Source organism: Homo sapiens, chromosome 7 (assembly GCF_000001405.40).
Source record: "Homo sapiens chromosome 7, GRCh38.p14 Primary Assembly".
NCBI classification, from domain to species: domain Eukaryota; kingdom Metazoa; phylum Chordata; class Mammalia; order Primates; family Hominidae; genus Homo; species Homo sapiens.
Window position 1 is genome coordinate 35,227,452 of NC_000007.14, and position 20,498 is coordinate 35,247,949.

Sequence of the window (20,498 nt, forward strand, 5' to 3'; positions counted from 1 at the left end):
ACACTGTCTTTTTACTGTGCCTTTTTAATGTTTAGGTACATAAATACCTACCCTTGCATTACAATTGCTTACAGTATTCAGTACAGTAACATGCAGCACAGTACGGTTTATAGTCTAGGATCAATAGGCCATACCAAATAGCCTACGTGTGTAGTAGGCTGTACCATCTGGGTTTGTGTAAATACACTCTATGACGTTTTCACAATGACAAAATCTCCAAACAATGCATTTCTCAGAATGCAGCCCTTCTGTTAAGTGACTCATGACTATACATCTTTCCACTTACATGAGGTACCCAGACTAGATAAATTCATAGATGCAGAAAGTAGGATACAGATTACCAGCGTCTCGAAGGGAGAGTAAATTGGAAGTTATTTTAATGGGTACAGAGTTTCTGTTTGGGATGATGAAAACATTCTGGAAACGGATAGCAGTGATGGTTATGTGACATCATGAATGTACTTAATGTCACTGAATTGTACACTTTAAAATGGTTAAAATGGTCAATTTTATGTTATGTATATTTTAACACAATTTCTAAAACCTCCATTGCATGATTATGAATTTTATTAAACCATTCTCCTATTATTGAATATTTGGGTTCCTTTTCCAAATTTTTAAACAATTAAAAATAATACTATGATAAAAAAAAAAACATCCTTTGACTCAGCATTTTAATTTGTGGATATTTATCTTATGGTAATAATTAAGAAGATGTGTAAAGATATGTATTTTCCTCCTGGCACTATTTGTGACAGCAAAAAATCAGAAACCTAAACAACTAATGCATAGGATTAGTCAAATAAATTACAGCACATAATGGAAAATTAGAAAGCCAATAAAAAGTGTGCTGCAGACATATATCTATTTATATTAAGGGGAAATAATTAAAAATAATATGGTTGACCAGATAAACTTTAAAGGAAGTAAATGTTCATACGTGCATAAGAAAGTATCTGAAAGAATATATAATGGGGTTTTGCCAGAGGTCATCTCTAAGGAAATGGGGTTTAACTGCTTTTTTATGCTTTTTCTTACTTGTCCGTATTTTCTGATTTTTTGGCAATGCACACAAACTCTTTTAGTAAAAAGAAAAAAAATTAATAAAAGAAACTTAATTTTGAATAAAACATAGATAACTCCTCCCAGTTATTTTTCTTTTCTCAGAAGGAACACTGTGCCTTTGTGTACTGGACAAAGTGAACCGCATGCCCCCAGAAAAGAAACATAAAATGCCAACTGAATGACTGTCTAAAGCTTGTTATTATACGGAACCAGCCAATAATTGTTTCCCCAATCTGAGAAACTAGACATTAGATTATACAAAGATATCCCTTTGGGCTTTTGGTTTGCTTCTCGGTTGACCACAGTAGGTATATTACAAAGCAGTAATGAAAACACTTTCTATTTTTGCCAGTGAGGTGGGTTTTCTTTTAGAAATGAGGAAGACGATGTCCCTGAAGAGTAAGGCTACACACAAAGTGAGACATTCAAGTACCTCAATGGGAGCTAGTAAAATTAGAGCAAGAAAACTAAAACACCTTTAAGAGTATCTCAAAAGCTCGTGTAGCTGTAGAAGGATTAAAACTGTGAATTTAGAGGTACAGGCAAACAGATCCAATCCCAAAGGCATTTTTGTTTGGGTGTCCCACACATTAAGCTGTAAATCTGAAACAGGAAACTTGAAATCATTAAGGTCACATATTTATAACATCATATTCAATTAGGTTAGAAAAGTGCAATATCTGTCATCATGTCATAAAAATATGTGTTTTTCTCTCAGATCTCTTATAAAGAAAAGCTCCCTATATTGTTAAGGATAGGGCTGTTTTCAATCAGTTACAAGGAGCAATTCAATTACTAGATGGTTTAGTGCAGTAACTGACTCCAGACTAATTTAATTTCTTTAGGTCTCTAAAGATCAATTGATCTGATTTGTCCCATCCCCAAAGGCTGTTTATGAAAAATTCAGACTTAAATATCTGGAAATGAAATCCAAAACCTCGGCCAATTTCACACTACTTAGGTCATCTTGCAAACTTTCAGCTAGTCATGTAAGAGTGCTGTCTTTGCCCTCAGACCATTGAAAGCTACTTAGCTTCATGTACATGTGAGTGCTCCCACATCAGGATGCTTATCCAATAAGTGGAAAATGTGGCCACATGCATTATCAAATCTGCCGTTGTAAAGAGCAGTCAGACTGAGTACCTCCTATCTTGTAAACCAATGTGCAACTACAAGGCTATTTTTACTCTAGGAGTAGTTTATTAAGACTATGAAACATAGAGTTACATGGGATAAAAGTTGTTAGATGAAATGCTCATATAACAAGATGAAGAACTTGTAATTATTTTACATTTTTAGATTTATAAAATGCTGTCATAAATGCCAGCTTATTTGATTCTCAGAATAAACCTCTGAGGTGAGCAGGGTTATTTTTTCCATTTTCTAGATGAGCGTACAGACTCAGAAGTCTGGTGACTTCTCCAGGATCACTCACCCAGGAAAAGGCAGAGGTGAGACTCTAAGCCCTAACTTTTTTTTTCTCCCAATATATCACGTGTACCCCCATGGTCTGAGACAGAAAATACGACACACACTATAAAAACGGATCACTATCACCCCACTGCATCATTGTCTCCATTCTTACTTAATACCTGAATAAAACTGAGAAAAAGTTCACTTATAACAATCCCAACTACATAAACCCGGTCTGCAGCAGGGCTTCTGGCCCTCAGAAACAGGAAATAAAGTCATGCCTAAATGAAGTTGCCTTTTGCAAGTGGACTCCTTTGTGGTCCATACTGCTGGTACCACATTCTCAGTGACTTGTATCCCACCTAATTTGAGTTACCACTTGCCTTCTCTCTGGACTTTGCAATGGATTTTCAATCACAAGCTCAAGTTTCTTTTCCTGATCTCAACACTTCCAACCAACTTGTCAAGCTCTCCAACTATTTAATCTTTCTTTTCTGCTCAAATCCCATAGTTCCTGGCCAATGTTCAGCCTCTCCTGCTTGCTCCTCTGCTTCCCCACTGAGCCTCTAAGTCTGTTCCCCTAAATCAAACCTCCCCCTCACATTCTGCCATTTGGGAAGGCTTAGGAAGGCTGAGACAGAGGTTGTTAAAATATGTAATTATCTTTTAATTTGAGTTGCCAAGATAGATTAGACAGAAGTGCTGAGGTCAGGAGATGTGGCTATATAGGTAACAAAGAGTGCAGCAGAAATGTGCAGCAGTTAGTAGGGAAATTACACAGATGTAGAGATAAGAAAATCAGTGGTTCTGGTGGCTAGGGAACTTCCCTGGTCAATTAAGACATTGGACCACATAAAAGAATTAGTGTGTTTAAGAAGTACAAATAATCAATTAGGTTTAAAAATCTTCTCTTTGAAAAACAATTTTTGACATTCATACTGGGCAAAATATGTATCTCCATATAGTCATTACTCATCACCTCAATGGTCTCAAACTGCATGAACCATTTTAATTGAGTAAAAAGTAGGGTAAGTTACAGGCACATGATTTCACTTGTCTTCTTAGAGGTCCTGAGGCCTGCCTGATGTCTCTCCTATTAAATATAAGCAGTCTACTACATTGGTAAAATTATGTGACCTTGAATTAAATTACATCTCCTTGTTTCAAAATTCCCAACTACCCTTACACTCTTTGTGTTAGCAAATATATCTACTTGGGAAGGTAAAAGGCTATCACGGTTCTGTTTCTCTATAGACTGCCACTCATTGAGACACGAAGCTTAAGAATGTCAAGAGGACTAAGTCTTTAATAACAACAAAGCCCTATTTTTTATAGTAGAATAAATGTCCTGACCAAAGAAACTATTTCACTCAGAAATTAAGCATATAATAGATCCAGTCACAGTAGCTGTCAGACTTAAGCAGTTGCATATGTACAAGGAATGGGGTGCAGAGAATAGAAGACTATATATAGTAAGGTTATGATTCTCTGGTGTCGAAAGGAGTGTGTTGTTACAAACTCCCTCTTCTCTTGATCTTATCTGAACAAGAAAGTAAACAGAAAATTCTCATTACCTCTCAATGTCAGTGAGCCTGGAGGAATCCCGGAATCCTTTGGCAAAAGGATTGCTATCTATTTTCAGCTTCGTTATCTGGAGAAAGAATGGGTACAAAACAGTATCATTTATGAGGTCAAGGAAGTAAAATCAGAAATAGTTTGTTCATTCTCCATAGCACACCAAGAATATCTTAATGTTTCTCAGTGTCCTGAGAAGGGTGGAAAATGCTACACATGTTCACAAGAGGGACAAATCCCAGCCAGGTGGGATGGTAAGGGAAGGCCTCAGAGAGGAGGTATTGAGGACAGGCTGGAGGTTGACAGATAGATACAATTAGGGAAGGGAGCCTTTGAGGCAAAAGTAGATGTGAACTGGGGTGTGCAGTATTTAATATATTACATAGTATGTCAAAGGCTAGGGCTGAACAGAGGAATGGGAGAACCACCTAAATGGGAGAATTATGCAGAATTCCAGCATCGGTAGAGAATGAAAGTAAGAATGCATCTGACTTGGTGACATCTTTTTTAGTACTGTGAGTACATATACATACCATAATAGATAAAAGGTAAAATGGCCAATAATAGCCTCATGTTCAATATGATATTGATATACATGACATAAATACATGACATAAAGCCTTCTGAATACAAATTTTCTCCTATTTCCCTTTCCATTTGACTAAATCAGAATCAAATTAGTCCATCTTTTGTTATCCCTCCATGAAATGTTATTTATAAACTCTATGTTTTTATGGAAAAACACATTCTAATAATAATCACAGTCTAAAATATTAAATGTCCATGCTGTGGTATTCAGAATTCCCATAGTACTACTATTAGTGTAGAAAGATCCATGAAATTATATGCACCATGACTCTGAAGGAGAATACGTTAAGTTGTAACAAGAAAATAAAGGAAACATTGATTAAAAGATACTCAACATGGAAAATACTGGAATTGTTAGAGCTGAAAGGAAGCTGAGAGACCATCTAGCCCATGGTCTTATCCGACAGATAATCACACACAGACTCAAAGAGCACAAGGGCCAAGATTCAGCTGGTCAGTAACTTAATTAGAACCAAGAAAACCTTTATGGAATCATAGCTTCTCAGTATCAAAATTAGAACCCATGTTCATCTCTAGAGAGAAATGCATGCTAAAGATTCTTAACAGGGGAAAAAAGTTACAGGTATGTCTTCTTCTTTCAAAGTAAGGAATACACAATCAAAACAGATAGTTTGAAATACTCTTGCCAGGCCGGGTGCCTGTGGCTCACGCCTGTAATCCCAGCGCTTTGGGAGACCGAGGTGGGCAGATCATAAGGTCAGGAGTTCGAAACCAGCCTGACCAACATGGTGAAACCCTGTCTCTACTAAAAATAAAAAATTAGCCAGGCATAGTGGCATGAGCCTGTAATCCCACCTACTCAGGAGGCTGACACGAGAATCACCTGAACCCGGGAGGCAGAGGTTGCAGTGAGCCGAGATCGCGCCACTGCACTCCAGCCTGGGCGACAAGAGCGAGAGAAAGACTCTGTCTCAAAAGAAAAGAAGAAATACTCTTGCCAAAAAGCAACTTTCTCCCCAGTCAAAGTATATCTATAGAACACTTTAAACTGTTAACACGTGAGGAATTTCTTTTTTCATTTCAAAAGAAATGTGGTTTTTTCTTTTTCATGGTTTCTGAACACTTTCAGAACCAAGGCACAAGCTGCAAAGAAGCTATTTATGCCTCACTTAAAATGAAACCTCACATACTAACCCAGCCAGAAAGACTCCTCTATCAATAACACTGGCAAATTATAAGATTAACTCTTTGATAATACTAATTTTAAAAAACATTTGACAGTGCCTCAGAAATGCTCATTTTTAGCCCATGAACATTCACTGCTGAGCAGTTAGAAGAAAATAGCTATGCTATGAGCATTGGTAAACAGGGAAGCAAATAAACTACATAAATCAGAAACCTGTTCTCATGGACAGCAACAGCTAAGACATATATATGAAGAGAGATACAGGAAAGAGTTTATAGAGAACCTTCTCACACACAGCTACCACTCTCTGAAGAATGAAGCCTTGTTTCATCCACTTATTCCGACTAGGACTTGTTTTTGAAAGTCAGTTTTGGGAGGGAAGGGGAAAATATTTTTTTGTTTGAAATAAATTATAAACATCCTCTAAAGCCCAGGCAATTGATACAGTCTACGATTACAAATATCAACAAGATTTTTAAATCCTCCAGGACATGAGCTATGTCTCTTTGTAATGAACAACTATACTTAAAATGCGTTCTACTTCTGCAGTACTTTATAGTTCATTAATATGCTTTCACAATAATTCATCAGCAAATAATGAGGATAAATCACCATGCACATGCACTGCGCTAGATGTCGGATGACATGCACAGCTAATCAGAGCTGGAACTGGCTCTAAATGATGCTAAAGAAGGTGGCACCACCTCCAACAAACAGTTAGAGACATTAAGGGTAAATCAAACCCACATGAAAATTTCAAACTGAAACTGTGAGGTGGAGCAATAAAGGTAAGGCTGCCTTTAAATAGCACATTTATAAAATTGAAAAGTAAACAGGCTTGCCAATGGATAAAATTTTCTACAGACAACAGATAATATATCTGATAAAAAATTCATTTTGAAAGAACTTTTTACAGCCATCTCTCTAAGATATGAATCATATCAAGCTTTTTCTGAGTCTTTACAAATGAAAAGGATAGAAGGTATTACCTATCTGTTCTAATGATTAAAGATGGACTTTTGACATATTTTATCTCTGAAAAGAATTTTGAAAATCACATTTCTTGTTCTTTTTTCAAAAGATAAAGACTATTGGCTCATAATATGATTGAGAAGTTATCTTAAATTCTCCAGTGCTCTAATACCACAGAAAATACATACTCTCAAAACACATGTTGCTCAATTGACGTGTCACCATATCTAATAATACTGCCATACTTTGAGCAAAGGAGTAACTTAAATTCAACATGAGTTTTCAAATGTCTTCGAATTTTCTCTCATTATGAGAATTATCTACTGCTAATATCATTTTAATCCAACTTTCATAAATCCTAGGAGTATCAGTGGAAATTTCTTTACATTTTGATATAATTTCAAACTTCAGGAAAGTTGCAAGAATAGTACAGGTGCTCTTATACACCCAGATTTACCAATTAGCCACAGCAATGATTTAGTTTTAGTGCACTAATTAGAAAAAGAATTCAAAACAATTACATTCTCTATTTCTATTTAATCTAATTCTAGGGAAAATAATTGCTTTTGCACGTGAGAACAGGAAAAAACTGAATGGATCTATTATCACTAAAATTGTATGGGAGCTCTGGGTTGATGCTACACATTCCTGAACAGCTTTTATGGGGTATTAATAATTAGCAGCACAGAGATTGTGGATTAAACTTCTTTGTGAGCCCACCATGTTCCTTGTAGCCCACTGTCACTAGACTCTGAATCTACTAGGGTGTCCACAATAAGAACCCCACAAGTATTTGTTGAGCTTTACCTCAAGAACAAGCACAGTGAGAAATATGATCTCACCTTTTCACCAATTATGAACTAAGTGAAACCATGAATTTACAGGAAAAGCATTTCACTTTTTAAATTTTAAGATAAAATAATTTTTAAATAGCAAAATTTTAACATTCTAGGTAATCATACGTTTTAAAAGGTCAGACATAGAGTTTATGCCACAATATTTAAATAAAGACCAGTAGCTATATAGAAATTCATTTTTAAGGTGTAGTTTTACATCTCTTTATGAAATTTGGGATAACTGAAAAAAAAAAAAACAACACTGAGAACTAATGAGAAAAAGAAGCTGAGTTACAGACAGTGATTTCAGGTGGACACCATTTCATTCATGTCCGAATAGAGGATGCCTGCAGCTTGTAATGTTGTTGAACAAATCACGTTTATCAAAAGTAATCCTAAAAGAAGTATCAAAAATAAATCAGCTACCAAACATTGTATGTACAGAAACCAGAGATATGGCTTCTTTATAACTCACAACTTCTTAAAAGCAGCAATGTTTCTCACTTCATCAAGAGAAAACACTAACAAGCAAGGTTAGTAGTATGTGCTTAAGAAATGCTACTGTTTAGTGTGGGTCTACATATATCCAAGTTACTAATTCAGTCCAAAACACAACCCTGCTTTTTCGTGTATTTAAATAATATAGAACATAATGCAATTCCTAACCAAAATGTTCACTCTTTTGGCATCTCTATTATCTTTAAGTAAATGTGTGGAGAGCAGATTTTGACACTACCTGCTGTGCAAAAGAGAAGGGGACCTTTTGCAGTGGTTATTCTGTATAATATCACTGGACTCTGAATCCAGCTAGGGTTCCCAGCCACAAGGTAAAATTGGCCCTCAGAGACCATTTCTCCAATTATCAGGAAAATATCTGACCAAAGGCATTTAAAAATGAAACTTGACCTACACTTCAACTCTACAGCAATGGTCTGCCTGCTCAAAAACAATGCATGACCTTTCAATCTTAAATTATAAAATAGTTTGTTGAAAGTGTAATGTATTTAGCTTTTATCCAATAATGTAAAGAAATGCAATCATTCCCTCACAAAAACCAGAGAAAGAAATAGCAAATAAAAGGTCCTACTTTCATTACTTACAAATGAAACTACAAGGCACAATAAATGAGGAATTTTTTCACAAATTGTTTTGGAAACTCTGACTTGGATTTCAATACACATAAAAATAGCAGTCATATCCAAAGCTTAAGATATATGAAAGTGGTCCTAAATGTGAATTTTTAAATCTTCCTCTCTTTTCTTCTCCCTCTTTGTTCTTTGTATGTGAAAAAATTCTAATACTATACCTAGTATATATTTACTTTATTTCCTATATATTTATTATATGTTATAGGCTATTATATGCTGCAGGATATATTATTGTATGCTATAGGAAACTTACTACACAAACTTGGTAGAGAAGTGAAGTCACAGTAGATGGTAGAAGGCCTAGAAAGAGTCAAGGATAACTTTAGAAAATGACATAGGACTAATGAAAATGCTAACCCACAAGTTCATTTATTCACTGCACATATGTTTACTGAGCACCTACAAGAGGAATTTTGATTGGTCTTATGAGGTTCATAAACCATTTGCGAAACTGCCCTGTCAGGATATAAAATCAAATTGTTGACTATTAACTGGATTTCTATTTTAAAGGCATATGGCTTTGTGCAAGCGGCTATGGTTTTAAAGGTGGATATCGAAAAATAAACTCAGACATAGTAGAATCTATGAGAAAATTAATTCTGAATTTAGTCACTTCCATTGTGGTTACTCAGCAATGAAATGACATACTAATCATATTAATACTATACTTAATGCAAGAAAGAATAGCTGGGCACTGATGGCTAGATTTTGATCCCATTTATGATATTAATTAGAAATAAACCTTGCCAAAGGAGCAACTTGTGTTGAAATGTGCATATTAGTATCTTCAGCTATTTTCATTACCCATATTTTCAAAGTCAGTTTTTGATGACACTGTCAGTGGTCACTTCCTTGGCCTTGCAATCTATCATGATGCCACCAAAAAGGAGGAATTAAAACCCAGAAGATCAAAAACCTCGTACTGGTTCTGTCACTTACCAGATTTGTGACCTTGGGTGAATGTCTTAACCATTCTGACCTCAGTTTCTAATTCTACAAAATGGGACTCGTGGGGCCTTCTTCAAGGCATACAGTGTCAGAATTAAATGAGGTGTTTAGAAAAAAATGTGGAAAGATTTTTCTAAATTAAAAGTAATAAATCCAAACCATGAATTTTAGCTGGATCCTAGTTCAGAGGGGGTTTAGGGGCAGTTGGTCTATCCTGAAAATTTTAATATAAACTGAATACTAGGTGATATAAAGAACAAATTCTTATAAATTTTCTTAGCTGTGATAAAGATGTTGGGATTACAAAAATAGTGTTCTCATTGTCAGAATATGCTTAAAGAGTGTTTAGAAGTGTCAGGAGGCATGCAACTTAGTTTCAAAAGGGGAGGGAAGAAACTGGGAAGGAAGAGGGGAAGTACGTTTGCATATAGAGAGAGGAAGAGGGAGGAAAGAGAAAATTTGGGGGAAAGCAAATTTGGCATTGCTGAATCTGGGTGGAAGGCATGTGAGGTTCATTTTACTATTTGTTTCGTTTTTTGTATATCTGAAATTTGTTCTAAATAAAAAATCAAGTAGAAAAACAAGAATTAAATTAGAAAATGTCATTAAAGATGTGGTTCCAGTTGGATACAGCGAGTACTAGCAGATATTCTGACCTCCTGTTAAGGATGATCATCATCGTGTTACACTTGCTGATGTGTGGTGTGAGCAGCACATTTGTTTAAAAAAAAAATGAGCATAAAGAGCTGATGCTCTCTAAAATCAATGTCTCAGAGTCTATCAGGGCCAAGAGCTGAGAGAGGGTGAAGTTCTGCTTCTTTGGGAACAGCAGGCACTCACAGCTTAGGGGTTAAGGGCACTCCCTCTTGAATCTTAACCACCTGAATTCAAATCTGCAATGGGAGGAGCAAGGTCACTTCAGATGACTTATTTAACTAGTGCCTCAATTACCCCAACTGTACGATGCTGAATAAAAATACGATTGTTCCTATCTCATGATATCATTGAGAAGATCAAGTATGATTATGAATTCAAGTGGTGTCTTGCACATAGTAAGTACCCAAATGTTAGTTGTTATTTGTATTATGTAAATAAGACCCTCCTATGATATGAGAGGTCCCGCCAACACTTACGCAGTCTTGGTCTCTCACCTATTAAACCAAATCTCAGGCATTATACTTTAAAGTTTACTAGAAACTTTAATTTTTGTTCATCTCTATAATTTTCACTAAAAAAAATAAAGAGGAAAACAATTTACCTCCTCCTGCTTTGGCCCTCTTTAAAAAGAATTATGATAAAAGCAATGAGGTTTCCACATGAGAAGTGTCTATGCCATTCCCAAACATCAATAAGGTTTCTTAAGTGAGCATAAATTTAAATTGTTATAATATATTAGCATGGTGTACATTATAAAAGCTATGAAATCAATTAGTATAAATGAATGGAATGTTTTCGGAATCTTTTTGGAGCCTATGATATTTGCATTCCACGTGCCCTCAAATAAATTAAAAACAGGATTGCTGGTTTCAGTGTTCCAGATTCGCAGAGAAACAGCATTAGTGCTTTAGGCCTTTGTAGGCTTCCATCTAAACCCCAACTTTTAGTTTGGGCATTCTCTGAATGTTTCCACTCCTGTGTTATGATCTTGGAGATAATTCAAAGGTTACAGTACTTGCCTTTACTGTAAGATGATCGGCATGATAACAATTACGCATTAATTTCTCTATCTCATTAATACACCACTAAAATTTTAAAATACAAATGGTGACAAATTCTTTTTTTGACATTTCTGAGACAGCCCCATCATAACCACATGTCTTATTTACAGAGCACCTTACAGCTTCCAAAGGCTTAAACAAGCCTACACACACAACTACATTTGATCTTCACAGCAATCCCCTAAAATGGTCTGGTCAGTTCTTGGCCCTAATATCTAGGTAAGGAAAACAGCAGCCACTGGTGAAATGAAATCTACTCAAAGTTGTATAGAAATCCTAGGAGAGTAAGCCTTACATACATCCACTCTGGCCATCTGCCCACATCCCTTTTCCAGGCTTCTACTACCTCATTTGTGTGAGGCTGGCTGTGATGTCAGCTTCATCTTGCCTTTCCCGAGGGTCTCCACACCACCTCGCTTTCAGGTGACCATCCTCCCCGGGACTCTGAGCCATCTACCAGGCAGCATCTAATAGCTACTCACTCAGAACCCAAAACCTAACAACATCAAGACAAGAGGAGAGCAATAGTCTTGGCTACCTATGACCAATGAAACAAACACAAGATACAAAGACACAGAGAGGTCATAAACAACTGAATGTGTCAAGTAAACTGAGCATGTGACTTCCTTTTATATTGAAGTGTATGAAAAGGAATTCTATTTCTGGTCCGTTCTGATGGAGAGAAGTTACTCACCCTCTCTTAGCTTCAGCTTCCTCACCTGTGGAGTGTAGTACTGCCACAGCCCCTTAAGCTTACGCTGGGCACAAAAGAAGAAAATGTATGGGAAGTGTCTATCAGTACATGGCCCTTAGTATGGCCTTGATAAATATTTACTAAGTTGGAATAAGCCCTATGGATGAAGAAATGCATTAATTTAAGTTTTTTTTTTTAATTTTATTATTTTTTTGAGGTGGGGTCTCGCTTTGTCACCCAGGCTGGAGTGCAGTGGTGAGATCTCTGCTCACTGCAACCCCCGCCTCCCAGGTTCAAGCGATTCTCCTGCCTCAGCCTCCCGAGTAGCTGGGACTACAGGCACCTGCCACCAGGCCCAGCTAATTTTTGTATTTTTAGTAGAGACGGTTTCACCATGTTGGCCAGGCTGGTCTCGAACTCCTGACCTCAGGTGATCCACCCACCCTGGCCTCCCGAAGTGCTGGGATTACAGGCATGTGCCACCGCACCTGGCCAAAAATGCATTAATTTTAAATGTGATGTACAACAGAGAGTAAAAAGCATAGGTTGAGTATCCCTTATCTGAAATGCTTGGAACCAAAAGTATTTTGGATCTCGGATTTTCTCAGATTTGGGAATTTTGCATTATGCTTACAGGTTAAGCATCCTTAATCCACAAATCTAAAATCTGAAATGCTCCAGTGAGCATTTCCTTTGAGTGTCATGTCAATGTTCAAAAACGTTTCAGATTTTGGAGCATTCAGATTTTGGGTTTTTGGATTAGGGATACTCACCCTGCATATAACTCAATAATATAAATTAGATATCTTGATGTTACATACTATGGTTTACTATCTAAAAAGACATTTAAAATCATTTTACCAGAATTATCTCACCCTAAATTATAGCTGAATAAACCTTACAAAATATCTAAAGTATCAGCAGTTTGGGCAGTTGGATAGAATAGGTGTGTTTAATTGAGCAGAGAAACTGAACTTTTAAATTTTATGAAGCAACAAGAACATGGTTATACATGTTACCAGGAGGAGGAAAAGGAGGCAAGTAACTTTCTGGAGAAGAAAATGTGAGAAGGCAGATTGGGGTAGGTGTGGGTGGGGAAGTGGGCAGTTAAAAACCTGACCCATAATGTAGAGATTCTAGAAACTATAGTGTAATACACAGTCACTCAACACACTCTTAGAGTTCCTAGCCCTGAAACTCAATAGCTCTCTGCAAAGTGAACATCCATTTTGAGTACTGGGATATCTCTTCTCTCCAAGAAAATATAAGAACCTCCTAAATCCTTCTCTTATGCAGGAACTAAATTGTGAACTGTACACTCACCAGTTGATTCTGGTAGGCAGTGACTGCCGTAAAAACTGTTTCTGGAAAGATGAAAGTTCTAAATTCTTCAGACTTCAGGTTGAGCAATGAGGCTGTGTGGTCTTTCTTCTTAATGATGTGCACCCTTGGCTGGTACTTATGCATTGAGTTCAAAATTATCTACAACAAAAAGATGGGAAGTACTGAATTTTACATACTTATACTGCTAAACAGGCCAAATTACAGTGAGGCAAGAAAGAACCAAATGGTCTACAATTTCAAAGTCAATTTTAAGATATGGATCTACCCTTTCCAGCCTTAAGGCAAATCATTTTCACAAGATACTGCAGAGTCATTGTTGTGAATCACATTTTACCAAAACAACTGCAAACCACACAGGTTGTTTCAAGTGTCCTTTCTAAAATGGTAAGGGGAGAGGTCATCTGAAGGATAAGTTTTACCTATTTTTAAAAATCACGTCTTTTAAATACTTTTGGTTTGCTAGTCTAGTTAGACCAAAGGACGCATGTCTAAATTTTCTAAAATAAGAAATCACATATTCTAAGAGGCCAGATTATTATTTATGGAGAAAAAAATAAAAGAGTTTAGAAAAGCAGTGGGGTGTTAGACAGACTTGGGTAAAAATTTTGAATCTGTCAGTTTCTAGTCCTTTAATCCTTAGCCAGGTGATCTCATCTCCCCAATTCCTAGTTTTCTCATATGCAGAAACAGTACTAACCTTGTAGGGCTGGCACAGAGGAAACAGGAAGTGCTCAGTAAATGTGAACTGTATTATTATTAGTAATAGAAGGAGTATTTATGACAGCTTCCTTGATTTCTAACTTCTAGTTATTAAACCAAACTTGAATCATGATAGCCATCTTCCATTCTGCAGCTAGTAAAAGTTGCCAAGTACTCAGAAATCATAAACACACCCTTGTTAACAAGGCAGCCAATAGGTAGTATTTTTCATATATCTTTTAAATAAAATATAAAAGCTAGCCATTATGAATCAGGGCAATAAAATTCAATTTCAGATATAAAAGGTTTCCCACATCTTCCCTCCTGTCACCCAGACAGCTATCTAAGTCTGCAAAATTTGGGGGTATGTCTTTCCGGGGATGAGAGGGCTCACATTGCATGCCCTCCTCTCCAAGGAGCTAGCAGAAAGCGGGACTCTCAGGAGACATCTGACTATAAACAGCCTGGCAGGAGCAATGGCACTCTCTGCTGGTTGCTGCTGCTAGTCATGCAACTGATGGCTCCCCAGCTTTCTTGGCTAACCTGGGCAAGGGGCATGAGTGTTTCTGCCGATTGACTTTAGCAGAGTTGAATACTAGTCACTGTGGGATAACTGATATATAATCGCTCGCTCTCTGTGCTGAGATGTAAGCCAGCCTAAAGTTACGGGGTTTTAACTGCGATTGAATTTTGAACATGCTGCCTTTTTATGATCTCAAACTGGAACAGGAATAACTGAAACAAAGGAGATCTTTAAATGAATCAAAATAATGTTTTTGAATGATAATATGATCTGTTTGCATAATACATTTATTCAAAGGATTTCAAGCGATTGATCCTCAGCCAAATACTTGAATAAAGTTGAAGCAGCAAAACCAAACATTTTCCTCCTATCACTAATATAAGAAAAAAAAATTAACATTCATCATATATTCTACTGGGAAGATAGGAAGAATTTTCAAATCACACCCACCCACCCATACGTACACATACCAAAATGGAACAAGCCCTAAGCTTTAAATAAGCTGCTTCTTTCCCCACTTCTACCACCTGAAGGTTAATTTCCTTTGGGAAAGGTTACTGGACAGACTCAGACCCCAGACTGAGCCTCTAAGACCCCAGAGCTCCCTGAATCTCTGCTCAAGCCCTCCTGTGACTTGAAGACTAAGGAACACTAATAGAAACGTGGACTCTGCTTCACTCAAGAAATAATTCTTGAGAATATGAAAGTTTCCTTTTCTGAAACTAAAACTGCATCTATAAGAGAGGCTTCTTCAGAACCTATTCAAAGAAGCTAGCTTAACAACACAAGATCTAAAAATCTTTCCTTGTATTAATAGGTTTCAGAACACACTAATTCTGGTGACAAAGGGTTATATTAAATATAATTTTTTTTTGAGACAGGGTCTTGCTCTGTCACCCAGGCTGAATTGCAGTGGCACAACCACAACTCACTGCAGCCTCGACCTCCCAGGCTCAAGTGATCCTCCCACCTCAGCCACCCAAGTGGCTGGGACTACAAGTGCATGCCACCACATCCAGCTAATTTTTTGTTTTGTTTTGTTTTCATAGAGATGGGGTCTCTCTACGTTGCTCTGGCTGGTTTCAAACTCCTCAGATCAAGCAATCTTCCCAGGTCAGCCTCTCAAAGTGCTGGATTGCAGGTGTGAGCCACCGTGCCTGGCCAGTATAAAAGTTTTAAAGCTAAAATGCATATAAGAAACCATCTAAGACTAACCAGTTTTTTAAGGTATAATCTTGGTATAATCAGGCTAGACCCTAGAGCTTCTGAAATCTGGTTTAGAGCTATTACTACCCAACGAAGCTGATGCTAAAAGGAAAGCATTTCAATTATGGACAATGGATCTCAAAATGACTCTGAAGTCTTTTTGGAAAGACTCAAATAATTCCTCTAAAAGCTTCACTTATAGAAAATTCTAGAATCATAAAAGAATTCCATCTTTCCCTGCAAAAATTTCCATTAAAGTTCAAGAAATTTTAATATAAATGACATTAAGAATGATCACTGACCTACAAAAAAATCACTCCATACTTCATAAATTCTAAACTGAAAAAAAATTTATCAGTGGAAGCATGTTAAAAAAAACAAAAGAAAATTATGCCAATAACCTTAAAGATAAAGATCAACTATCTTTCTTTTTCAATACACAAAAAAACAGAAGCATATTAAGTTACTTCCAATATCCCAACAGCACCACCAGTAGAGTCGTGAGTTAAGTGGGTACCCTGACTTGGTTGTAATAAACACAGTCTCCTGTGGGCAGAGGGATAGTGCTAGCGCCTAAAGTGATTTATTTAGTTCCAGGTTTAATCCAACCATATGAAACCAAACCTAGAACTTTCTTATTATCTCCTTATGACCATCTTTGTTGAGAAAGGTCTTCAAACACTTCCTCTAAATTGCATAGATTTGATCCTTACACATTGTATATATGTATCCAAATATCACATGTACCCCATAAATATGTACAATTATTATGTATCAATTAAAAATTATTAAAAGAAGAAAAAAATTATGGAAGTCCATCTAAAGTTTTCTTAGCATAAAATCTAAGACAGAATTTTTATGTGTATCTTTATTTAACAGCATGAAGTAACATCCCAGCAATGCCTTAAAAAGGCATTTTATCAAATATGTAAGGACCTGCATCATTGACTATTTGTTCTATTAAACTACTGATAAGAACACAGAGTTAATTTTTCTTTTTTCCACATTTTCATAAACTTTATACTGACACAAAATCAAATTGTTTTGTTTTTAATTACAGGGCTTCTTTATGCTTTAATATTCATGAAACTCTCCAAAAAAAAATGGTTACATAATGAGTAAACAGCACTTTCCCAAACTGATTTGGACATAAAATCCTTTTGTTATTTCATCTCACATACATATGTTCTATAGACTACACTTTGGGAAACCCCCATCAGAGGTCCTAGCCCTATTCTCTCTAAGTTTTATTATCTGCTATGCTGCTGACAGAAATTAGATGCTTAACCCAACAACAGGCTGTAGCAGCCTCCAAAAATGTATATTCCCTTAGTTTAGTTGGCTCGGGTGGTACAGCAATTTCAGAAGCCTTAGGAATTCCATGGAACAGAAGATCCCTGACCTTCTTGCATAGAAATGGCACACAGCATTCCCGTAAATGACCTATTACAAAATCAGTCAAGGTCCCCTGAAGAACACATAAATGTTCCCATAAAATGACTCAGAGATAGAAGGTGGGAAGGGGATAGGGAAGGCAGGAAGGGACTCAGAGAGAGACAGTTTTGTGCGACCTGTCCATTCTACCTCAGGGAACCTGCACAGTCCAAGGCATGGTACTTACATGGCCATGTTGATCCAGTTCATTGTTGGTGAGTTTCACCTTTTCAAAAGACACCATCTGTTTGAGTAGTTGCTCACCGGTAAAAGGAGAATCTGGATGCACATAGAGCCTAAGAAAATTAGGAGAAAACTTTATTGAGACTTCTTTAAAAAGTCTGTCTCTGTAGGTTATAAAATGTTCTAATTCTAAGGGAACACATAAACCATATATAAGTGGGAAATTTTATTGCCCTATATACCTCAAATTTATTACTATTGCAATGTCAAAACAACTGAAAAATGTCTAATTATTTCTTCATGTACCAATTATCTAAATGAGATAATACTTAACAAATTTTCTATTAAAAGCTGAGCAAGGCATTGTTTAAAGGGGTGTGTGTGTGTGTGTGTGTGTGTGTGTGTTTTCATCTATCTAGTCAACTACTGGTCTGCTTCGATCAAACGCAAAATCTTCTTGTTGAAGGTGCTTTCAAAAGAAAAACTAGCTTACACTAATCGCATGAGTTCCTATTATAAACATCTCTTAAATAACAGTGAAAACATAAATAATTTAAAAGAGAAAATAATTTTAGAGAATCCATTTATTTAAACTTAAAGTTTTAAAGTTTGTGTTCTTTGTAAATATAAGATGGAGCAATTTTAATATAGGGACATGGAGAACTCCCAGTAGTCCACCGATCAGCTAGGATTCTGTTCTTCCTGTTACATTAAACACTACTGCTTTCATCATTATCTGTTTATGTGCTCACTAAATGAGAGTTAAAACAAGCTAGACACACTTCACATTATTCAATTTATTTATCTGTAAACAGTGTAAGCCAAAAAAAAGCTCTCACATCTTTTACGCACTCACAGTTAAATGCAGGTCACTTTTTCTACCTGTGACAACGCCTTAAATGCAGCTCTTTGTAAGTCCCCATCCTGGTATCTTCTTGACTTAAGTCTTTCTGAAGTCAGAGAGAGACTACAGAACTAATGAAGGGGAAGCAAAATCCTTGATTTAATAGGACAAATTCCTTTATCCACGTAAAAGGTTATTTACACCTAAATTTTATATAGGATCCTTATAACTACAATTAAACATAAATATTTTTACTAGGGCAAAAGCAAGGGATAAGAAGTCATAAAATTTTTCTTGCATTATTCATGTAAAGAACAAGAAATCTGTTCCATGGTTTGTCACACAGAGGACTACGAATAGAAGAATTCTGTACAAATGCTGAAACTTACAAAGCCCACCAGGAGCAATGCACAAAAAAGGTTGACAGCACCAAAGACTCTTACCAGACCTACAGAGGAACTGTAAAGGCTTCAGGCATTTGTCTGCCTGTTAATTCCACTGTTTTTAGGAGGATTGCTCACAGTTGCCTTTCAATTATTCTTTGATAACACAACCACTTTTCAAGTACCATCCTTCCAAGACTGTAGCTTTATAGGTGCAATTGTTTTACTGATCAGAACCACATTCCTCCCTCTAAAAAAGTCCAAAATTATTTAAAGTCCTAAAGTTGATGAAATGTTCCCTCTCTAAGGATCACATTCACCACATGTAATGGCTATTAATAAAATATTAATGTAATTAAATATTATGTACTTTAAAGAAAAGGAGATGTCCTATATGAAAAGGTAACATTATTTTAGATCATAAGTAATATCTTGCTTATTATTACAATCAAGTGATACTGTCAAGCATTATTTCTTCCGATTAGGAATGACTGACCAATGAACTTCAGCCTGAACTAAAATGCTTCAAAGTCCTAAAACCATGGGAAATTTTTGCCATCAGTATAAAAATTATCATCTCCCAAGTTCTTCGTTTTTCTCTTATGGAGATAGATAAGTAGCAAACTATTTATTTTAATAATAATAAAGAATAGTTGCTAAATTATCTATTTTTTATCCCATAATAAGCTAAACATTTTTATTTAATATCAATCTAAAAAAGCTGAACTAGGATTAATGAAAAAATATACAGGAAGCCCCTCCTCTCAAGTCCCCCAGAGACTTAAAATTCCAGCAATAGCTTAAACATGCTTCAGTTAAGATAGTGTATTGGTACACACTTTTTTTCTCCAACCAGAACAGATTAGTAACATAAACAAGGCATGTCATATTTCCAAAGTCCTGCTGGCCTGCATCAGCTCCCCATACCTTCAGATAGGAAGAAAATGTATGTTTAATAAGAGTGATTAACTTCTTAGAGGAAAGACTGGAGGGCAAAAAAAAAAAAAAAAAAAAAGAGGGTTTGCTTGTAGAAAATGGTTAGGAATCTGCCAAAATACTCTCTCAGGTTTAAAACGGTATTGAAAAGTTTGGAAGGTAGCTAAAGAATAATAGTAAACTATTTAACAGTAAATAGAAGAGAACACTAATTTTATTAATTTTAATATCTATTATAAACTGGTGAATCTTGCTCAACTAAAAAAAAACTAATAGCAATTGTTTTTTAGATTTTCTTAGTCTTGACTGTTATTTAATATACTGATTTGAAAGGGCTGGGAAGACGCCCTTTCTGGTCTCTTCCGAGAATGGAAAACTCTGAGAGATTGCTTTTAATCTCTTTTCTAGTGCACTTAGCATACGATAAACTCAATAATATAATAAACTACTAATTAAGCTGAATATTCTATCTGAACCATATGTGTAATTGTCTGTTGATTCTCTGCCTTGACTATGACTCCAGACTAGACACAAAGTACCAGCCGTAACTTAACAGTTCCCAAATCTGTACATTTAAATAAGTTCTTAGCTCTGATACAAACTTTCAATCAATCACAAAAAATTAGTCATTAAACAACAAAAATTAGTCATTAAACATAAACAACAAAAATTAGTCATTAAAGAAAAGCTATGAGGCTGGGTTTTAAAATCCCAAACATAAAGTCAGCTAATATGTTTTGTTTTGTATTAAAGTAGGCAGTTACATTCCTGTAACTTCATCTATTATTCTTCATATAAGCAAGTATATGTTTTCCTGTTAGAACTCTCATTTAGTTAAAATA

At 36.0% G+C, this 20,498-nt stretch overlaps 1 protein-coding gene across 3 annotated transcripts in view, besides 1 other annotated feature; it reads right to left on the reverse strand.

Moving 5' to 3' along the window:
* TBX20 (T-box transcription factor 20) overlaps positions 1-20,498 on the reverse strand; it is a 51,671-nt gene that overhangs the window by 25,022 nt on the left and 6,151 nt on the right. Inside the window, exons 1-4 of one of the 3 annotated variants that reach the window (XM_017012456.2) lie at positions 18,350-19,713; positions 17,498-17,606; positions 13,428-13,586; positions 4,053-4,129 (exon numbers count right to left, since the gene is read on the reverse strand). In XM_017012456.2, the coding sequence (XP_016867945.1) occupies positions 4,053-4,129; positions 13,428-13,586; positions 17,498-17,554 (293 nt within the window). In that variant the 5' untranslated portion in view covers positions 17,555-17,606; positions 18,350-19,713. Of the gene's footprint in view, positions 1-4,048; positions 4,130-13,427; positions 13,587-17,497; positions 17,607-18,349; positions 19,714-20,498 lie in introns of those variants that run through there. The other 2 variants (NM_001077653.2, NM_001166220.1) reach the window with 2 other exon arrangements.
* Positions 1,451-2,317: an enhancer, noted in NCBI's record as "VISTA enhancer hs466". NCBI's record gives its function as "enhancer in: facial mesenchyme[3/4]" and the evidence as "EXISTENCE:transgenic organism evidence [ECO:0001131][PMID:17130149]".